Source organism: Homo sapiens, chromosome 7 (assembly GCF_000001405.40).
Source record: "Homo sapiens chromosome 7, GRCh38.p14 Primary Assembly".
Classification (NCBI taxonomy): domain Eukaryota; kingdom Metazoa; phylum Chordata; class Mammalia; order Primates; family Hominidae; genus Homo; species Homo sapiens.
Window position 1 is genome coordinate 32603336 of NC_000007.14, and position 19158 is coordinate 32622493.

The following is a 19158-nucleotide window of genomic DNA, read 5'->3' on the forward strand; positions in this document are numbered from 1 at the left end:
CCCGAGGAAGGGGCTTGATTAACTTTTATACCTTGGTTTAGGAAGATGAGGGGGGGGTCTACTTAGAACAATTTTCCAGAAGTTAAGTAGTCAAAAAGTTAAAAGGATAAATGGTTATAGGAACGTAAACAGTTCCAGGTGCAGGGGCTTTAAGACTATTACAAGGTGATAGACTAGGGGCTTTGGGCGTTGTCAATCAGATGAATTCTTGGGGACTGTGGATATAGCTTGCCACAGTATCTTATCAGTTAATTGCATTCTTGGATGTGCTGGGAGTCAGCTTGCACAAGTTAAGTCCTTGAGGAAGGGGCTGCCAGTGAAAGAGCCAAAATGGAGTTTGTCTGGTTCTCTTAGCTAAGGGAGAAACAAGGCTAGGTGAATAAAGGAAGAAACAAGGTTGGGCATTACATTACAAGGTAATTCCAAATGGTTTTCCAAGTGGTAGTACCAATGACATTCCCACTCGCAAGACATGCTCTTTGACCTCACCAACACATGATAGACTTAAATTTTTGCTGTTCAAGTATTGGGGGAAATTCAGCCCCCGATATTTCACGTGGGTTATTTTCTATTTTCCCTAAGTGCCCGCCAGTCTGAGAAATAAAGGGGAAGAGTACAAAAGAGAGAAAATTTAAAGCTGGGTGTCTGGGGGAGACATCACATGTCGGCAGGTTCCGTGATGCCCCCTGAGCCATAAAACCAGCAAGTTTTTATTAGCAATTTTCAAAGGGGAGGGAGTGCACGAATAGGGTGTGGGTCACAGAGATCACATGCTTCAAGGGCAACAAAAGATCACAAGGCAAAAGGTCAGGGTGAAACCAGAATCACTAATGAACTTCCATGTCCTGCTGTGCACGCATTGTCAAGGTTCAAGAACAGAGAACCGGTCTGACTAGAATTTGCCAGGCTGGAATTTCCTAATCCTAGCAAGCCTGGGGGCGCTGCAGGAGACTAGGGCGCATTTCATCCCTATCTACATCTGCATAAGGCAGATACTCCCAGGGTGGCCATTTTAGAGGCCCGGCCCTGGGAATGCATTCTTTTCCCAGGGCTGTTAATTATTAATATTCCTTACTGAGGAAAGAATTCAGCGATATTTCTCTTACCCATTTTTGGTAATAAGAGAAATATGGCTCTGTCCCGCACGGCCCACAGGCAGCCAGACTTTAAGGTTATCTAACCCTTGTTCCCTGAAAATCGCTTTTATCCTGTTCTTAAGGTGCCCAGATTTCATATTGTTCAAACACACATGCTCTACAAACAATTTGTGCAGTTAACGCAATCATCACAGGGTCCTGAGGCGACATACATCCTAGCTTACAAAGATGACGGGATTAAGAGATTAAAGACAGGCATAGGAAATCACAAGAGTATTGACTGGGGAAGTGATAAATGTCCATTAAATCTTCACAATTTATGTTCAGAGACTGCAGTAAAGACAGGCATAAGAAATTATAAAAGTATTAATTTGGGGAACTAATAAATGTCCATGAAATCTTCACAATTTATGTTCTTCTGCCATGGCTTCAGCCAGTCCCTCAGTTTGGGGTTCCTGACTTCCACAACACAAGTGAGTATAAAAGTGTTGTGGACTTATTTTGTATTTCCTAATTTCTAAGAAATTTGAGCACCTTTTCAAATGTTTATTGGTTGTTCATATCTCATCTGTGAAATGTTTGCTCAAGTTTTTTATTCACTGTATTATAGAGTGCTCTTTTTCTTATTTATTTGTAGGAAATCTTTCTATATTCTCAATACTAGTTGTCTTAGTTTGTTTTCTGATGCTATAACAATACCACAGATTGACTAATGTATAAACACTAGAAGTTTTTTAGGCTTATAGTTCTGAAGGCTGTGAAGTCCAAAAGCATGGCACAGGATCTGGCACATGAGGGCCTTCATGCTGTCTCATCCCATGGTGGAAGGTGCAAGAACAAGAACAGATGGGAGCTGAACTTCACCCTTATATCACAAACCCACTCCCATGATAACTAACCCACTCCCCCAGTAATGTCATTAATACATTTATGAGGACAGATCACTCATTAACTAATTGCCTCTTAAAGGTTCCACCTCTTAATACTACCACAATGCAATTAAATTTCAACGTGAAGGCCAGGTGTGGTGGCTCATGCCTGCAATCCCAGCACTCTGGGAGAACAAGGCAGAAGGACTGCTTGAGGCCAGGAGTTCAAGACTAGCCTGGGCAACACAGTGAGACTCCATCACTACAGAAAATAAAAAATTAGCCAGGCATGGTGGCACATGGCTTTGGTCCCAGCTACTCAGGAGGTTGAGCCAGGAGGATCACTTGAACCCAGAAGTTCAAGGTTTTAGTGAGCTTTGATTGCACCACTGCACTCCAGCCTGGGCAACACAGCAAGACTCTGACTCTAATACTACTACTACTAATAATAATAAAACAAAAATAAATAATTTCCCCAAGTGTTTTGCAGAGGACTTTCAAACCACAGCACTAGTCCATTGTCAGTTATGTGGATGCAGATATCTTCTTTCAGTTTGCGGGTTGGCCTTCTGCTTTCTTTACAATATCTTTGGATGAAAAGATATACATGTGAGTCTTTTTCTTCCAGACAAGGTCTCACTCTGACATTCAGGCTGGAGTAGCGTGGTGTGATCATGACTCACTGTAGCCTCAACCTCCTGGGCTCAAGTGATCCTCCCACCTCAGCCTCCTGATTAGCTGGGACTACAGGCATGTCCCACCATGCCCAGCTAAGTTTTCTGAGTTTTTGTAGAGACAAGGTTTTGCCACACTGCCCAGGCTGGTCTCCTCCTCCTGGGCTCAAGTGATCCTCCTGCCTTGGCCTCCCAAAATGCTGAGATTACAGGCGTGAGCTACCACAAGTAGCCTGGGTCCTTTTCAAGATATTTCCTCCCATTCCTTTGGTCAATTTGACTATCTCTGCATTAAAGCCATTCTGTCTTTGTTGTTGCTTTATAATTCAATAATTTATAATTTTATAATGGGGGAGAGTTTCTACAAAATCATATCATCTGTGCTGGTCAGAATAGCATATCTCATTGTGGAAAAGGCAAGAATAGGTCACGTCCCAGTTTTATAAATAAGGAAATAAGGTCAAACTCAGGACTCCTGACTTTTAATTGAGTTTTCACTTCATCTCCCTAAAAACTTCCTATCACTACATAAATTAAAAGTGTTGTTTGAGGAAAATGAGGGGCTGGCTTTGCTGCATGTATTCAATCATTTCTGCTCAACAAATATTAATTCCTTCTTTTTAGCAGTTATCAGATACACAGGCATGTAGACACTCTTTGTAAAGTGCTAGGTATGTGTAAGCTATTACTATTATTATCATTGTGGTACAAGAGATATATGTGGGGCCAGGCGCAGTGGCTCACGCCTGTAATCCCAACACTTTGGGAGGCCAAGGTGGGCGGGTCACGAGGTCAGGAGATCGAGACCATCCTAACACGGTGAAACCCCGTCTCTACTAAAAATCCAAAAAATTAGCGGGGCATGGTGGCATGTGCCTGTAGTCCCAGCTACTCAGGAGGCTGAGTCAGGAGAATCGTTTGAACCCAGGAGGCAGAGGTTGCAGTGAGCCGAGCTCACACCATTGCACTCCAGCCTGGGCTACACAATGAGACTCTGTCCAAAAAAAACAAAAGAAAAGAAAGAGATATATCTGGATCCTAGCACTTTGGGTGGGTGGATCACTTGAGGTCAGAAGTTCGAGACCAGGCTGGCCAACATGACAGAACCCTGTCTCTTCTAAAAATACAAAAATTAGCCAGGCGTAGTAGCGGGTGCCTGTAATCTCAGCTACTTGGGAGGCTGAGACAGGAAGAATCACTTGAACCCAAGAGGCAGAGGTTGCACTGAGCTGAGATCGTACTACTGCACTCCAGTCTGGGTGACAGAGCAAGACTCTATCTCAAGAAAAAAAAAATCGGCAAAAGACATGAACAGACACTTCTCAAAAGAAGACACACATGTGGCCAACAAGCATATGAAAAAATGCTCTAGATCACTAATCATTAGAGAAATGCAAATCAAAACAATGAGATAACATCTCACACTAGTCAGATGGCTAATCCTAAAAAGTCAGAAAATAACCAATGTTAGTGAGGTTGCAAAGAAAAGGGAATGCTTATACGCTGTTGGTGGGAATGTAAACTAGTTTGGCCACTGTGGAAAGCAGTTTGGAGATTTCTAAAAGAACTTAAAAAAAACTACCATTCAATTTAGCAATCCCATTAATGGGTATATACCCAAAGGAATATAAATCATTCTACCAAAAACACACATGCACATATATGTCCACTGCAGCACTGTTCACAATAGCAAAGACATGGAATCAACCTAGATGCCCATCAGTGGTAGACTGGATAAAGAAAACGTGGTCCATATACACCATGGCATACTATGCAGCCAAAAAAAGAATGAAATCATGTTCTTTGCAGCAACATGGACAGAGCTGGAGGCCATTATCCTAAGCAAATTAACACAGGAACAAAAAACCAAATACCACGTGTTCTGTTTTTTGTTTTCTTTTTTTTTTGAGACAGGGTCTTACTCTGTCACCCAGGCTGGAGTGCAGTGATGAGATCTGGGCTCACTGCAACCTCCATCTCCCAGGTTCAAGCGATTCTCCTGACTCAGCCTCTTGAGTAGCTGGGATTACAGGCATGCGCCACCACACCCAGCTAATTTTTGTTTTAGTAGAGACGGGGTTTCACCATGTTGGTCTGGCTGGTCTCGAACTCCTGACCTCGTAATCCACCTGCCTCGGCCTCCCAAAGTGCTGGGACTACAGGCGTGAGCCACCACCATGGCCACCACACGTTCTTATTTATCTCACTTTATAAATGAAGTCCCCATGGACACAGAGGGGAATAACAGACACCGGGCCTACTTGAGGGTGGAGGCTGGGAGGAGAGTGAGCATCAACAAACTTCGTATCAGGTAGTATGCTCACTACCCCGGTAACGAAACCATTTGTACATCAAACCCCAGTGACACGCACTTTACCCATGTTACAAACCTGCGCATGTACCTCCTGAGCTGAAAATAAAAGTTGAAAAACAAAAAAAAAAAGAAAAAAGAAAGCTCTCTTTGGGGAAAAACTCACAAATCTGCCCCCTCCGGTGATGGCTGACCGATATAATTCAAACAGCTTCCCGCCATCTTTAAGGAAGCAAATGGCTTTCCCATTCCCCTTCTTTCTCGTAGTGCTGCCCTTCTCCTGGCCCCAGGCTGCTGGAGAAACCGAGGAAAGCAGACAGGGTCCTACCTTCCAGAAGCCTTAGGAACACCACGGCCATGGGCGTGGGAAGGATACCCTTGGGATTCTCGCGAAACATTCTCGTGAAGGGCAAAGTCGAGTGAGACCAGGATGGGAGCTCCAGGTAGAGGGACAACAGAGAGGAAGGAACAGAGGGTGAAATCCCTGTGCCAGGAGGCTTCCTGCAGGGGGAGGTGTGAGGGGCTAGTGGAGGTGAGGAGGAGCTGTGTGGCCAGGACGCTGTAGGTGCCTGGTGAGCAGTGGAGGCAGTGAAGGGCTGTCACCAGGAGAGCGACATAGGAGATGTGCTGTTTTGTTTATTTATTTATTTATTTATTTTTGAGACAGAGCTTTGCTCTGTCGCCCAGGCTGGAGTGCAGAGGGGCGATCTCTGCTCACTGCAACCTCCGCCTCCCAGGTTCAAGTGATTCTTGTGCCTCAGCCTCCCAAGTAGCTGGGATTACAGGCACGCGACACCATGCCTGGCCAATTTTTTTTTTTTTTTTTTTTTTTTTTTGTATTTTTAGTAGAGACAGGGTTTCACCATGTTTGTCAGGCTGGTCTCAAACTCCTGACCTCAGGTGATCCGCCCACCTTGGCCTCCCAAAGTGGTGGGATTACAGGCATGAGCCACCATGCCTGGCCTCGAGATGTGCTGTTTTAGAAAGATCTGTCCTCACAGACGTGTGGAAGAAGCTAGGAATGAGGAAGAGAAGAAATGAGGAGAAACAGGCCTGACTCCTCCCTGGTGAACCTCCTCCCTTGGCCTCCCAGGCCCTCACTCCTTCCGTTCCCCTCATTTACTAGGAGAGGAATTCTGTGTCCAGAGCACCCCAAAACCTGAAGGCAGAATGCAGTCCTGGATTGTTGTGGATCTTGGCTGCATTTAAAAAGAGACCTTGCTGAGCCTATGTCCTGAATAAAATAAAGGAAATGGGCTCCTGGTTTCCAAATATTTCTTTAGATGGGAGACTCTTTGATCAAACGAAGTCCTGCCCTGATAAAATGAGGAGTATGGCAGCAAGGGGGCACTCCCCCAGCACGTGGCGGTCCAGGCTCCCTCATTGAGGGCTCTGTGACTCAGGGTTTCTAGCACTGTAGCTGGCTCTCCTGCTTCAACCGAGTTCTTTTATGAGTGTATCTGAATATTAAACTAACACTTGTTTCATTGCTTTGAACAAGGTGTGCTTTTGAGAAGCATGGTCAATACAGCAGGATTGAATGTTTTTATGCCCCTGTAGCTTAATAAGGAGATCATAATTCATTTAAAATGGATTGACTCCCATCCTAAGCCTGACCAGCATTCCATTCTTATATTAAAGAAATAATCCAAAAGGAAAAAGAAAAGTTATAAGCATGAAGTTCTCTGTCACAGCATTTTACATAATAGTGAAAACTGGGAACCAACAGAGAACTGAGTTACACACTGAAGCATAATACTAAGTGTGATACTCAGTGTGATGTTGGACAACTAATAAAACAAGCAATGTGAGGCTGGGTGCAGGGGCTCACACCTGTAATTCCAGCACTTTGGGAGGCCGAGGTGGGTGGATCTACCTGAGGTCAGGAGTTTGAGAACAGCCTGGCCAACATGGTGAAACCCTGTCTCTCCTAAAAACATAAAAATTAGCCAGGCGTGGTTGTGGCCGCCTGTAATCCCAGCTACTCAGGAGGCTGAGGCAGGAGAATTGCTTGAACCAGAGAGGCAGAGGTTGCAGTGAGCTTAGATGGCACCACTGCACTCCAGCCTGGGGGACAGAGTGAGACTATCTCGCTCACACCTGTAATCTCAGCACTCTGGGGGGCCATGGCAGGTGAATCACTGGAGCCCAGGAGTTTGAGACCAGCCTGAGACTCCATCTCTATTCAAAAAAAAAAAAAAAAAAAAGGCCGATGTGGTGGCTGGCCGGGTGTGGTGGCTCACGCCTGTAATCCCAGCACTTTGGGAGGCCGAGTCAGGTGGATCACCTAAGGTCAGGAGTTCGAGACCAGCCTGACCAACATGGTGAAACCCCAACTCTACTAGATACAAAAAGTTAACTGGGCGTGGTGGCGCATGCCTGTAATCCCAGCTAGAGGCAGGAGAATCGCTTGAACCAGGAGGTGGAGGTTGCAGTGAGCCAAGATTGCAGTATTGCACCCCAGCCTGGGCAGCAAGAGCGAAACAGTCTCAATAAATAAATAAATAAATAAATAAATAAATAAATAAAAATTAAAAACAAACCAATCATTGTGAACGCTGGGGGAAGGTGGAAAAGAGGAAAATGCAGAATACAAAATTAGGCAAAGGGACGAGGCACCCAGGAGAATAGGAGTCGAACTCGCTTCCATCTTCATTTCTTCTCTCTTCTTCCTGTATTTTTTCTCCATTTTTTCCACAAGAACTGTGAGAACACGGGAAATGAGTTGATTTATTAGGGTGATTTACTACAGTGATTTTCTTCTGCTTTTAAGTTGTTACTCTTTGGGAGGGCGGGAGCTTAGAATCCAAGTGCAATAAAAGGTAGAGAAGATGCTGTGTGTGGGTAAAAGCAGCGCGGAGCTTCCTGGGCCATCTCAGCTAGACCAGTGCCTTTTTTTTTCCCACTGGGCCCTGAATATATCTCCATCACCTTCCTGAATGCACTGGGGTAACCATCTGGTTTTGTAACAAGCTGAGAGGAGCCTGGCATGTAGTGGGCACTCGATGAATATGGTGAGAATAACAAAGCATTCCTTTGCAATGCAGGGCTCAGTTGTTATGGCTTTCAAAGAAGGCAATGTAACTGACATACTGAGATCATTAAACAGCACAGGAACTAAGAAGGCAAAAGAAAGCAGTGCTTTCAACTATTCCTGTTTTACAGAGTACTTGTTGAAACTGTAAAAAGATATTTAGAACCACAAAAACTAGGCCAAGGGTAAGAAAAACTCTTCATACCCAAGAGAATTCAGCTGACCAAATTAAGTCTGATCCAGAATAAACAGCACTCATCTGGAAATCTAGCAGTTCCAGAAAGTACTGTCCAAGGGGAAAAAGACCCACAACGTTGATCTGCATAATTATATAACCCTTTAACAAAGAGACAAGAAGCGCTATCGTGCTGGAGTGCATGGGGAAAATCAAATGTGAGCATGAGCAAAGCTGGGCTCACTTGAGAAAATAACAGGTCTCAGCCCTCAAAGAAGAGGACTTTGTTACTGAAGAGAATCTGGGCTCATGTGCCCTTTCTCATGAACTTGACCAACCTCAGTGTGTTTTCTCTGTGTTCACCCAACATCCAAAACCAAAAACAAGGTTTCTATTATCAACTCCCTCCAGCAGAAATTACTTACAAATAGTCATGTGAGGAGCATTGCACATGAAGGAACACATTGGAAACTAAACTGAAGCTTGGCTATTACAAACAGGTCAAGACTATTCATGTTGGTATTTTACCAAGAAAAGCATAATCACTATCCCCTTAAAAGCCAATTAAAACATCAAATAAAAACGAAATCTGGCCAGGTGTGGTGGCTCATGCCTGTAATCCCAGCACTTTGGTAGGCCTAGACGGGCGGATCACCTGAGGTCAGGAGTTCAAGACCAGCCTGGCCAACATGGCGAAACCCCGTCTCTACTAAAATATAAAAATTAGCTGGCTGTAGTGGCGTGCGCCTGTAGTCCCAGGTACTCGGGAGGCTGAGGCAGAAAAATTGTTTGAACCCGGGAGGCAGAGGTTGCAGTGAGCCGAGATCATGCCACTGTACTCCAGCCTGGGTGACACAGCAAGACTGTCTCAAAAAACAAACAAACAAAAAACCCCTAAATGCTAGATGGGAAGAGGAACTTAAAACATAACTTTCTTTCTCCAACATATGTAAAAATCCAGGCTTGAAATTGAAAGCGGGGGCTTGAAGAGAGATCTGTACACCCACGTTCACAGAAGCATTTTCCATAGAAGCCAAAGGATGGAAATAACCTAAGCAGCCATTGACAAATGAATGGATAAACACGATGTGGTGTATCCATATGAGAGGGAAATTCTGACCCATGCTACAACATCAATGAAGCTTGAAGACGTATTTCATGAAATAAGCAAGTCACAAAAAGACAAACACTATTATATCTGATTCTGATGTAGAGCAGGTGAGCCCCAAAATTGGGGCTTGCCCCAGGACTAAGGTTCTTGGCTTTGCCCAAGAGAGAATTCAAGGGTGAGCTGGCGGTGTCAGCAACTTTTATTGAAGTGGCAGTGCACAGCAGCAGTAGCAGAGGCACTGCTCCTTGTGGGGCGGGGCTACCCCCATAGGCTGTGTGCCCAGAGTAACAGCTCAGAGGCAGGTCTGCAGTCATATTCATACCCACTTTTAATTATACGCAAATTAAGGGGCAGATTATGCAGAAATTTCTAGAAATAGATTAACTTCTGGGTCATTGGCTCATGCCATGGAAATGGGTGGTAACTTCCAGGTGTTTTCATGGCAATGGTAAGCTGACAATGGGTCTGTCTTATGGAAAGGTGCTTTCGCCTCTTCCCTGTTTCAGCTAGTCTTCAATCTGGTCTGGAGCATGAGCCCTGTCTCTGGAGTCGAGTCCTGCCTCCTACCTCAATTCCACTCCTATGTGGCAACCAGAGTAGTCAAATTCTCAGAGACAGAAAATAGAATGCTGGTTACCAGGAGGTAGAGGGAGCCAGAATGGGAAGTTAGTGTTTAATGGGTACAGAATTTCCAGCTGGGAAGATAAAAAAGTTCTGGAAATGGATCGTGGTGATGGTTACACAACACTGTGGAGGTACTAATATCAACAAATCGTACGCTTTAAAATGGTTAAGATTGTAAATTTTATGTTATGTGTATTTTACCACAATTTTTTCTTTTTTGAGACAAGGTCTCACTCTGTTGCCTAGGCTGAAGTGCAGCAGTGTGATCATGGCTCACTGCAGCCTTGACCTCTGGGGCTCAAGCAGTCCTCTTGCCTCAGCCTCCCCAGTAGATGGGACCACAGGCCGGCACCTCCATACTTTTTTTTTTTTTTTTTTTGGAGAGATGAGGTGTCACTGTGTTGCCCAGGCTGGTCTTGAACTCCTGGGTTCAAATGATCCTCCCACCTCAGCCTCCCAAAGTGCTAAGATTATAGGCACCAGCCATTGTGCCCGGCCTACCACAATTTTTTCTTAAAAAATTCAGGTTTGATTCCACAGAGCCTTTGTTTAACAATGGGAAAGGTTCTAATTTTATGTCTTCTACTTTTCCTGTGGATATTATATGTTATTCTCTACATGTGTTAATTTCTGGTAAAAAAATGACTCTGTTACATTCTGCTTACAACAGAGAAATGTCTTCTACTTTTCCTGGGATATTATATGTTATTCTCTGTATGTGTTAATTTCTGGTAAAAAAATGACTCTGTTACATTCTGTTTAAAAAAGAGAAATATAGGCCAGGCGCGGTGGCTCATGCCTGTAATCCCAGCACTTTGGGAGGCCGAGGCGGGCAGAAAACGAGGTCAAGAGATCGAGACCATCCTGGCTAACACGGTGAAACCCCGTCTCTACTAAAAACACAAAAAAATTAGCTGGGTGTGGTGGCAGATGCCTGTAGTCCCAGCTACTCAGGAGGCTGAGGCAGGAGAATGGTGTGAACCCGGGAGGCGGAGCTTGCAGTGAGCCAAGATCGCGCCACTGCACTCCAGCCTGGGCAACAGAGTGAGACTCCGTCTCAAAAAAAAAAAGAGAGAAATATATATTACTCAATACATAGGAGTCCACCCAAAAAATTATAAAGAGGTTGTTCTTTCCGTACCCCCCTCTGTGAACCTCTTGTAACACCTCATGACAATAATGAGAGTAGTTATGCAGGTCAAATTCCTTACCGATAATGCTCCATCTTCTAACCATCAGTGAAAATTAATCTTTTTGTTTCATTCACTCATCCAATAATAAGTTATTACTAACATATATTGAACAATTACTATACTATGTGCCAGGAAATGTGCTAACCACTGGGCACAGTGGTGTAAGCCTGTAGTCCCAGCTATTCAAAAGGCCTCCAAGGCAGGAGGGCTGCTTGAGGTCAGGAGTTCAAAGCCAGCCTGGGCAACATAGCAAGACCTTGTCTCAAAAAAAAAAAAAAATAGGATCATACCTAACATACATAATTCATCACACTCAAATGGCCATAGAGCTTTAGAGCTGGGAAATACAATTAGCGATCTTCAAATTCAGATGCCCTCATTATTGTTTACCTTCTTCTATTATGAAAAATTTCAAATATATTCAATAGTAGTCAAAGAGCATAATAAACTTCTTTTTATACTACAGTAAACCACTCAGTGTCAATAATTATCAATGTATGGCCGATCTTGTTTCATATTTACCCACACTTATTTTCTTCCATCTCATATAACTTTTTTTGCTGTATTTTTTTTAACTTTTTATTTGGAAATAATTTCAAATTTACAAATAAGTTGCAAAGATGGAAATAATAAAAAGAACACCCATTACCATTTACCCAGATTCACCTGTTAACATTTGTACTGCTTATTTGTACACGCTATCTCCCCCTGCACAAACACACACTCACACACACTTTTTTTCTGAACTATTTGAGGCTACATTATAAACATCATCATCTTTTACTCCTAAATACTTAATGTGTATTTCCCAAGAAAATGACATTCTCTTATGTACCATGGTACAGTTATCAAATTCAGTAAATGTAAACTAATTCAATCATTTTATTTTCTCTACCATTTGTATTCCAATTTTGTGACTTGACCCAATAATTTTTTTTTTCTATAGAGATGGGGTTTTGCCATGTTGCCCAGGCTGGTCTTGAACTCTTGGACTCAAGCAATCCATCCACCTTGGCCTCTCAAAGTGCTGGGATCACAGATGGGAGCCACTGTGCCCGACCCCAATAATGTTCTTGACAGTATTTCTTTTCCCTCCATTAGAGGATCCAGTTTTAGGTCAGGTATTGCATTCAATTGTCAGATTTTATTATTTTTTTATTTATTTTATTTATTTTTATTTTATTTTATTTTATTTTTGAGACAGAGTCTCACTCTGTTGCCCAGGCTGGAGTGCAGTGGCGTGATCTTGGCTCACTGCAACCTCCACCTCCCAGGTCAAGCAATTCTTCTGCCTCAGCCTCCCAAGTAGCTGGGATTACAGGTGCGTGCCACCATGCCCAGCTAATTTTTGTATTTTTTTGTAGAGACAGGGTTTCGCCATGTTGGCCAGGCTGGTCTTGAACTCCTGACTTTAGGTGGTCCACCAGCCTCGGCCTCCAAAAGTGCTAGAATTACAGGCATGAGCCACTGCACCCAGCCTGTCAGTCTCTTTTAATTAAGAAAATTTCGGCCTGGCACAGTGGCTCATGCCTGTAATCCCAGCACTTTGGGAGGCCGAGACGGGCAGATAACGAGGTCAGGAGATCAAGACCATCCTGGCTAACATGGTGAAACCCCGTCTCTACTAAAAACACAAAAAAATTAGCTGGGTGTGGTGGCGGGTGCCTGTAGTCCCAGCTACTCAGGAGGCTGAGGGAGGAGAATGGCGTGAACCCGGGAGGCGGAGGTTGCAGTGAGCCGAGATTGCACCACTGCACTCCAGCCTGGGCGACACAGTGAGACTCTGTCTCAAAAAACAAAAACAAAAACAAAAACAAAAAAAAAAAAAAAGAAAATTTCCAGAACCTTTGTCCTTTATGACATAGACTTTTTGGAAAAATAAATTCCTCTTTCTTCTTTTAAGATGTTCCTTGTGTGGAGGCTGTCTGCTGTTTCCTTATGATTAGATTCAAGATGTGCACATCTTGACAAGGTGACTCTAGTCAGTATACTGACTAGGTGATATTGTGTCCTTTTCAGGGTATCACATCTGGAGGCATATGATGGCCAGTGTCAATACTGATCACCAGTTAAGGTTGTTGCCTGATTCATCCCTGTACAATTACTGTTTTTTTCCTTCTTAGAGATAATTAACAGTCTGTGGGACAACACTTTGAGATCAAGAAATATCCTGCTTATCATCAAAATTTCCCCTAGATTCAGCATCTGTAATTAGTTACCCACTGCTATTATGCCAAATCTTAGTAGCCTAAAACAACAGATACTTATGAACTCAGACAGTTCCTATGGGTCAGGAATTTGGCAGTGGCTTGGCTGGGTGGTTCTGGCTCAGGGTCTCTAATGAGGTTGCATTTAAGCGCCAGCCAGAAGCTGCAGTCATCTGAAGGCTTGCCCAGGGCTGGAGAATCTACTTCCAAGATGATTCATTCACATGCCTGGCAAGTTAGTGCTAGAACTGAGAAGGCCTCAGTTCCTTATCACATGGAACTTTCCATAGGGCTACTTGACTGTCATCATGACATGACAGCTGGCTTCTCCTAGAGAAAGAGATCTCAGAGAGAAAGCAAGGAGAAAGCAGTGCCTCCTGTGACCTACTCTTGGAAGTCATACACTGTCATTTCCACCATATTCATTCTATTTGCCCACTTGATTCAAGGGGAAAATTAAGCATTAACTTTTTTTTTTTTTTTTGAGACACAGTCTCACTCTGTCGCCCAGAAAATAACTAGAAATTGCTTTAAAAATTATTTTGATTAGAAATTAAATATCATAAAACTTAACCTTTAAAAAAATCACAAATAGACAATTTGTAAGATACATTAAAAAGTACTATATACTTCTAAGAAAAATTTAGCTTTAAAAGCATTGATCAGAAAATAAGAGAGGTGAAAACAACAGAGCTAAGCATTTCCCTTGGGTATCAGAAGAGAGGAAACAAAAAGAAGTGAGAATAAGGACAGGAATTGGTGACAAAGAGAAACACAATAAAACCAAAGAGGACTAAAAAAAGGTATAACTTTAAAAATATTAAAACAATAGACCTCTAGAGCAAGTCTAATGAAGGAAATAAAAGATGCAAACAAAAAGCAAATGAAAAAGGGAGAAATAACTATGGACTCAACATAATTAAAATAAGAAGAGTAGGCTACACAATTTGCTAATAAATTGTAAAACCTAGGTAAAATGGATACATTTCTGGAAAATCATAAAACACCAAAACTGGCACAAAAAGAAATAGAAAACTTGAATAGAACAAAAAGCATTCAAATATCTGAAATAGAAATCAAGTATTTTCCCTCCCAAAAAGCCCTAGAATGAGATGGTTAACATGGATGAGTTATTAAACTTTTAAAAAAATCTTTTCCAAGTTGCCAGGAAGTAGGAAAAATAAAAAAAAAAAGAACACCAAAAACAAACAGACACAACAGCTCTTAATAGGAGACCAATATTAATTCCAAATCCAAATAAGGAGACGTCAACCAAAGAACAAAAGATCACTTCGCAAATACGCATATACACAAAAATTCCAGTAAGAATTTTAACTGACTAAATTCAAAAGGCATTATCCATTTGATGACATATATAAAATGGGCAAAATTCCTCTAAGGACATAAACTACCAAAGTTCACTCCAGATGAACTGGAGAGCTTCCTAATGAAATTGAATTTGTAATAAAAAACCTACCCACAAAGAAAGCTCCAGGCCGTGAGGGCTTCACTGCCAAATTCTACCAAACACTTAAGGAAGAGATAATACCAATTCTACACAAAAATCTCTCTGAAAACAGGAGACAGAACACTTGCAAATAATTTTAGGAGATGACATTACCCTGAAACCAAAACCAGACAAAATCATTACGAGAAAAGAAAACTACAACAAATATTCCTCATGAATAATAGACGAAAATCCTTAAAAATATTAGCCAACCAAATACAGCAATATAGAAAAGAAATACTACATTTGAGCAGGTGAGGTTTATCCCAGGATACAAGCTAGATCAACACTCATATATCAAAAAATGTGTCGACTTCCAAATATGGCCGAGTTAAGAAACTGGTATCTCCCATTCTCCAAAACAACTTTAAAGTTGGACAAAATTATTTAAAAAAACACTCATATAGGGTTCTAGAAATTAACCAAAAGGAAGCAACAACGTGGGAAGCATTGATTCATAAAAAACTGAGAAACTCTGGGTAAAAACAGTGGGAGTCTGTGGCATTTTTACCTAGTTTGCTCCCATCCACCTCGGCACCACCCCCATCTCCCCCATACTGTTAGTGAAATAGTTCTTTTGAAGGGGGCAGGATGGAGTATGACTAGTCATAAAAATAACCTTTACTACTGGAGCAGGCTGACCTGATTTGGGGCAGACAGCTAAAAACCTACACTCAGAGGCACTATCAGTAAAAGTAGAGAACTCAGTAGGAAATGAAAGGCTGGGTAGCCTTGCCACTCTCTTCCTTTAACCAATGTCAAAATTAAGAATTTATGAGCCAATGCCCTTGATCAAAGTTACGTATTTCTAAAAATACTAAAGTTACAACTAAGTTATTTCTAATTTGCAAATAACATAGCTTATAGCATTTTTTGGCCCTGGCATAATTTTAGGCTATGACAGAAAATGACAATAATCGCTTTAACCTGAATTAATACCTTAACTGGTTCATGTTCCCCAGTGAATAAAACAGATTCCATAAATGCAGGACTAGGGTTATTTCACTTGTCTTCCTGCTCGCACTCTGCATACTGGCTGACTCACCCACCTTTCAGCTCTCATCCTCAGAGCTGACTTCCAGGATCCTTCCCTGATGCTCCTCCTGTGTATTCCTGCAGCACTCTGTACTTCATTTTTTATCATAGCCTTTATTACACTGTATTATAACTGCTAAGAATTGTTTCTATTTTCCGAATTTTCCGCTAGACCATACCTTAATCAGTTTTCTATCTCTAGGATACTTTCTACTATCAGACACACAGGACGTACTGAATGAATGAATGAATGAATACATTTTCAACTATAGTTTTAAAGTTTTAAAAATCTTTCCACAGATTGTAGACCACCCATTTAATGGTCCATGTGTTTTCAATCTTTTAAGCAAAAACAACCCTTGTTCTTATTAAAACCTATATGAAAGAGATTAAGGTTAAACTGCCCTGGGTAAAAGAGAGGCTAGGAGACAGGGGAGTAGACAGCCCTCAGGGAAGAGTCCTGGGAAGTCGTAGGACTTCACATAACCCAGTTTCAAAACCATAGCATTAATCTAGTACAGAAAGAAGAAAATCACCAATAAAAATAAATTATAGGAAAAAAGGTAGTTTATTTTTTCCATGTTGGTTCTTGTGCTGCTTTTTTAAATTAAATCTTTGATAGCCTCCTGACTTAGGATGTGCTGATTAAAACACCAAAATAAAATAGGCAAAGCAATTATGGACAGGGAGAATCCTTAAAATTATAAGACAGACTTCTCCATTTTATCTTCCCTTCTACTCTAATACCAAAAACAAAAATCTTCTTTAAATAAGACTAACTTAGATTAAATAATCTATAAAGGCTTATAAAAGCCTTTTACAAGTAATGACTTGAAAACTGGGGAGAAAAAAGAATGAGACTATAATACGATCTCCAGTTAAGGCTCTAAAGATGGTGTCTTTACCAGTTACAAAGAAGCTAGAGAAAAACGACTGTATAGACCTTAAAATTCGATCTTTAATCTCTAGAGTTTTCCTGCTTTAAAATTTTAAAATTTTAGTGATATAGAAGGACCAATAAAATAAGAGATTGTTTTAAGAAACTAATTTTGGAGAACAAAAATCTATATACAATTACATTTACTTTCTATTATATTAAATACATAAAATAATAGGTGAACAGACTTCATCCTAGAATTTCATTTAATAGTGATACTTGAATAACTCAATTTATTCTTAGCTTATTAGATTCTTTTCAAGTCTTTCAAGTTTAAGCAAAAAATGCACTTACGTCATCTGCAATACCAAAAATTTTAGATGTCAAGTATTTAAGTATGACAGTTCCAAATAACCAAAAACATCCTTGAATAACCTAAAAAAAGAAAACAAAAATAACTTTGATGCTTCATATTCCACAGACATAGGCTAGGAAGAAAAAAATAAATGCTTTAATCATACATGAAATACATATTACTATCTACAAGAGAAAATGCTAGAAAATGCATCTCAATTTAAAATCAAGCATGTTGCTCAAAATCAAGGGACAGTAACTAAAAATAAAAATATAATCATACAATCTTATCAAAATTAATATATTTTATAGAAGATTTACACAACCACTGCAGTTAAATTCCCTTTAACAGTTTCTTATACATGCACTGTTTCTCAGATGAAACATGAGTAATAAATAAAACTGGAATTTTTAAACTACATACCCAGGATTAACTTTAACTTGTTTCATAAAAAGGGCAATTTGGTACATTAAAACTGAGCCCTAAAATACTATAAAACTGTTGGATCCCCTGAGTTACATAGATCATTTTCTTAAAAGTAAAACATAAAACCAATGATATATTTTAGAGAAGAAAAAACATAAGCATTAAAATAGATTGATTCTCACCCATAAACTAAGTTCAGATACATTTATTTTCAGGAAATGTGGTTTCATTGCCAGAATACCCTGAGTAGAGAAAAATAACATAGTATACACAGTTAATACTTACAGACATAAATTCAAGTACCAAAAAATTCTTCTAAATGATAAGATTCTCAAGTATCTAAAATTGAGCAAACAGTCAACTTTCCACATACCATCCACATGCTCATGTCTATAGTCAGTGACTTCAAGGTATAGCCCTATTATCCAAAGTCAATTAGGTGAAAGCGTGACTTTTTAAAGTTGAAAAAGGAATCACCATATGTAAATGTCTATCACTGATTTGACATATCTGATTTATCTCTGAGCCATGAGGTATATAACATTTTCAGAATTGCATACAGGCATAAGATTTTCCTTTAGCTAAAAATTACTGACTCTTAGGGTAAACAACAAATGAAATGTTAATGGATCAACTAAATACTTCTCTTGTCAAATCTTAAGTATTTTCAGGTAGTAACGCTCCCAAACTGTATTACCCTTGGGGAGCTAAAACTACTTCAAACATCGCAAAAATATGATTAGAGATCACAACATAAATACTTGAAACCAAATTAAATCTTTTTGGAAGTTTCTGAATAACTGAGAATACAAAATGTGATACAATTCAGGTTTCAAAGTGATTAATTATAAATATATGCAAATATGTTTATAGTTAAATATGCACAAACATGCTGTACTCCCTGTTATCATTTATTTTTATACACCAAAATATATGGAATATACATAAATATGCTTAATTCATATCTAAGACGCACCTCAGTGTGAAGCATCTGGCAGCATACCTGACATACAGAACTGAAGAGAAATTTCCTACAAAAGGCACTTAAATTAGATTTTATTTATATGTAATATTTGATTCAGTGGTTTCCTTGTCCATAGTACCAAGATTCATGTACTTTATCCTGGGTGATAGCAGTACATGACAAAGTACATATGTAATATATACAACTGAGTACTTTGTCACTTTGACACAGAACTGAAGAACTACACTTATTAATCCCGAAGTTATGATTTTTCTTGTTGTTGTTGCTGAAAAATACAGCATCATGCTAATTGCTAATTTCTGTAGCTAAGTATACCCAAGGTACAACCTGAAAAGGGTGGTGGCCCAGACTGGGAAGAGGCATATTTTTAAGAAATGCGTTTTTAAATAAATATTATTTGTAAAATAATAAAAATGGAGGTTTCAAATGTAATGGCTTCTAGAAATTAAGAAACCCCAAATGATCTGAGTAACTTAATTACTCAAGAAGTAGAATACATTCCAATTACGACAGTGCAATGTGCTTTTAAAGTCATCGGGAAACTAAAGCACATGCACTTTAAACATAAGGAATAACAAGTTTGCAAAACATTTTAATGGAAACCCACCAAAAAAAAAGGCAGTCTTTAAATTTCAGAAGACTTTTAGACTTACAAAGTCATCCTGCCAGCTGGGCGCA

The 19158-nt window shown here is 40.5% G+C and overlaps 1 pseudogene across 1 annotated transcript in view, besides 2 other annotated features; it reads right to left on the minus strand.

Moving 5' to 3' along the window:
- DPY19L1P1 (DPY19L1 pseudogene 1) overlaps positions 1–19158 on the minus strand; it is a 138230-nt pseudogene that overhangs the window by 22397 nt on the left and 96675 nt on the right. Inside the window, exons 11-12 of the transcript NR_036680.1 lie at positions 17678–17737; positions 17069–17149 (exon numbers count right to left, since the gene is read on the minus strand). The product of NR_036680.1 is annotated as a DPY19L1 pseudogene 1 (transcript). The remainder of the gene's footprint in view (positions 1–17068; positions 17150–17677; positions 17738–19158) is intronic.
- Positions 634–1159: an enhancer, noted in NCBI's record as "OCT4-NANOG hESC enhancer chr7:32643581-32644106 (GRCh37/hg19 assembly coordinates)". NCBI's record gives its function as "activates a minimal SCP1, AML or CMV promoter by ChIP-STARR-seq in naive H9 embryonic stem cells {active_cell/tissue: H9 hESC(naive)}" and the evidence as "EXISTENCE:reporter gene assay evidence [ECO:0000049][PMID:30033119]".
- Positions 4849–5349: an enhancer, noted in NCBI's record as "H3K27ac hESC enhancer chr7:32647796-32648296 (GRCh37/hg19 assembly coordinates)". NCBI's record gives its function as "activates a minimal SCP1, AML or CMV promoter by ChIP-STARR-seq in primed H9 embryonic stem cells {active_cell/tissue: H9 hESC(primed)}" and the evidence as "EXISTENCE:reporter gene assay evidence [ECO:0000049][PMID:30033119]".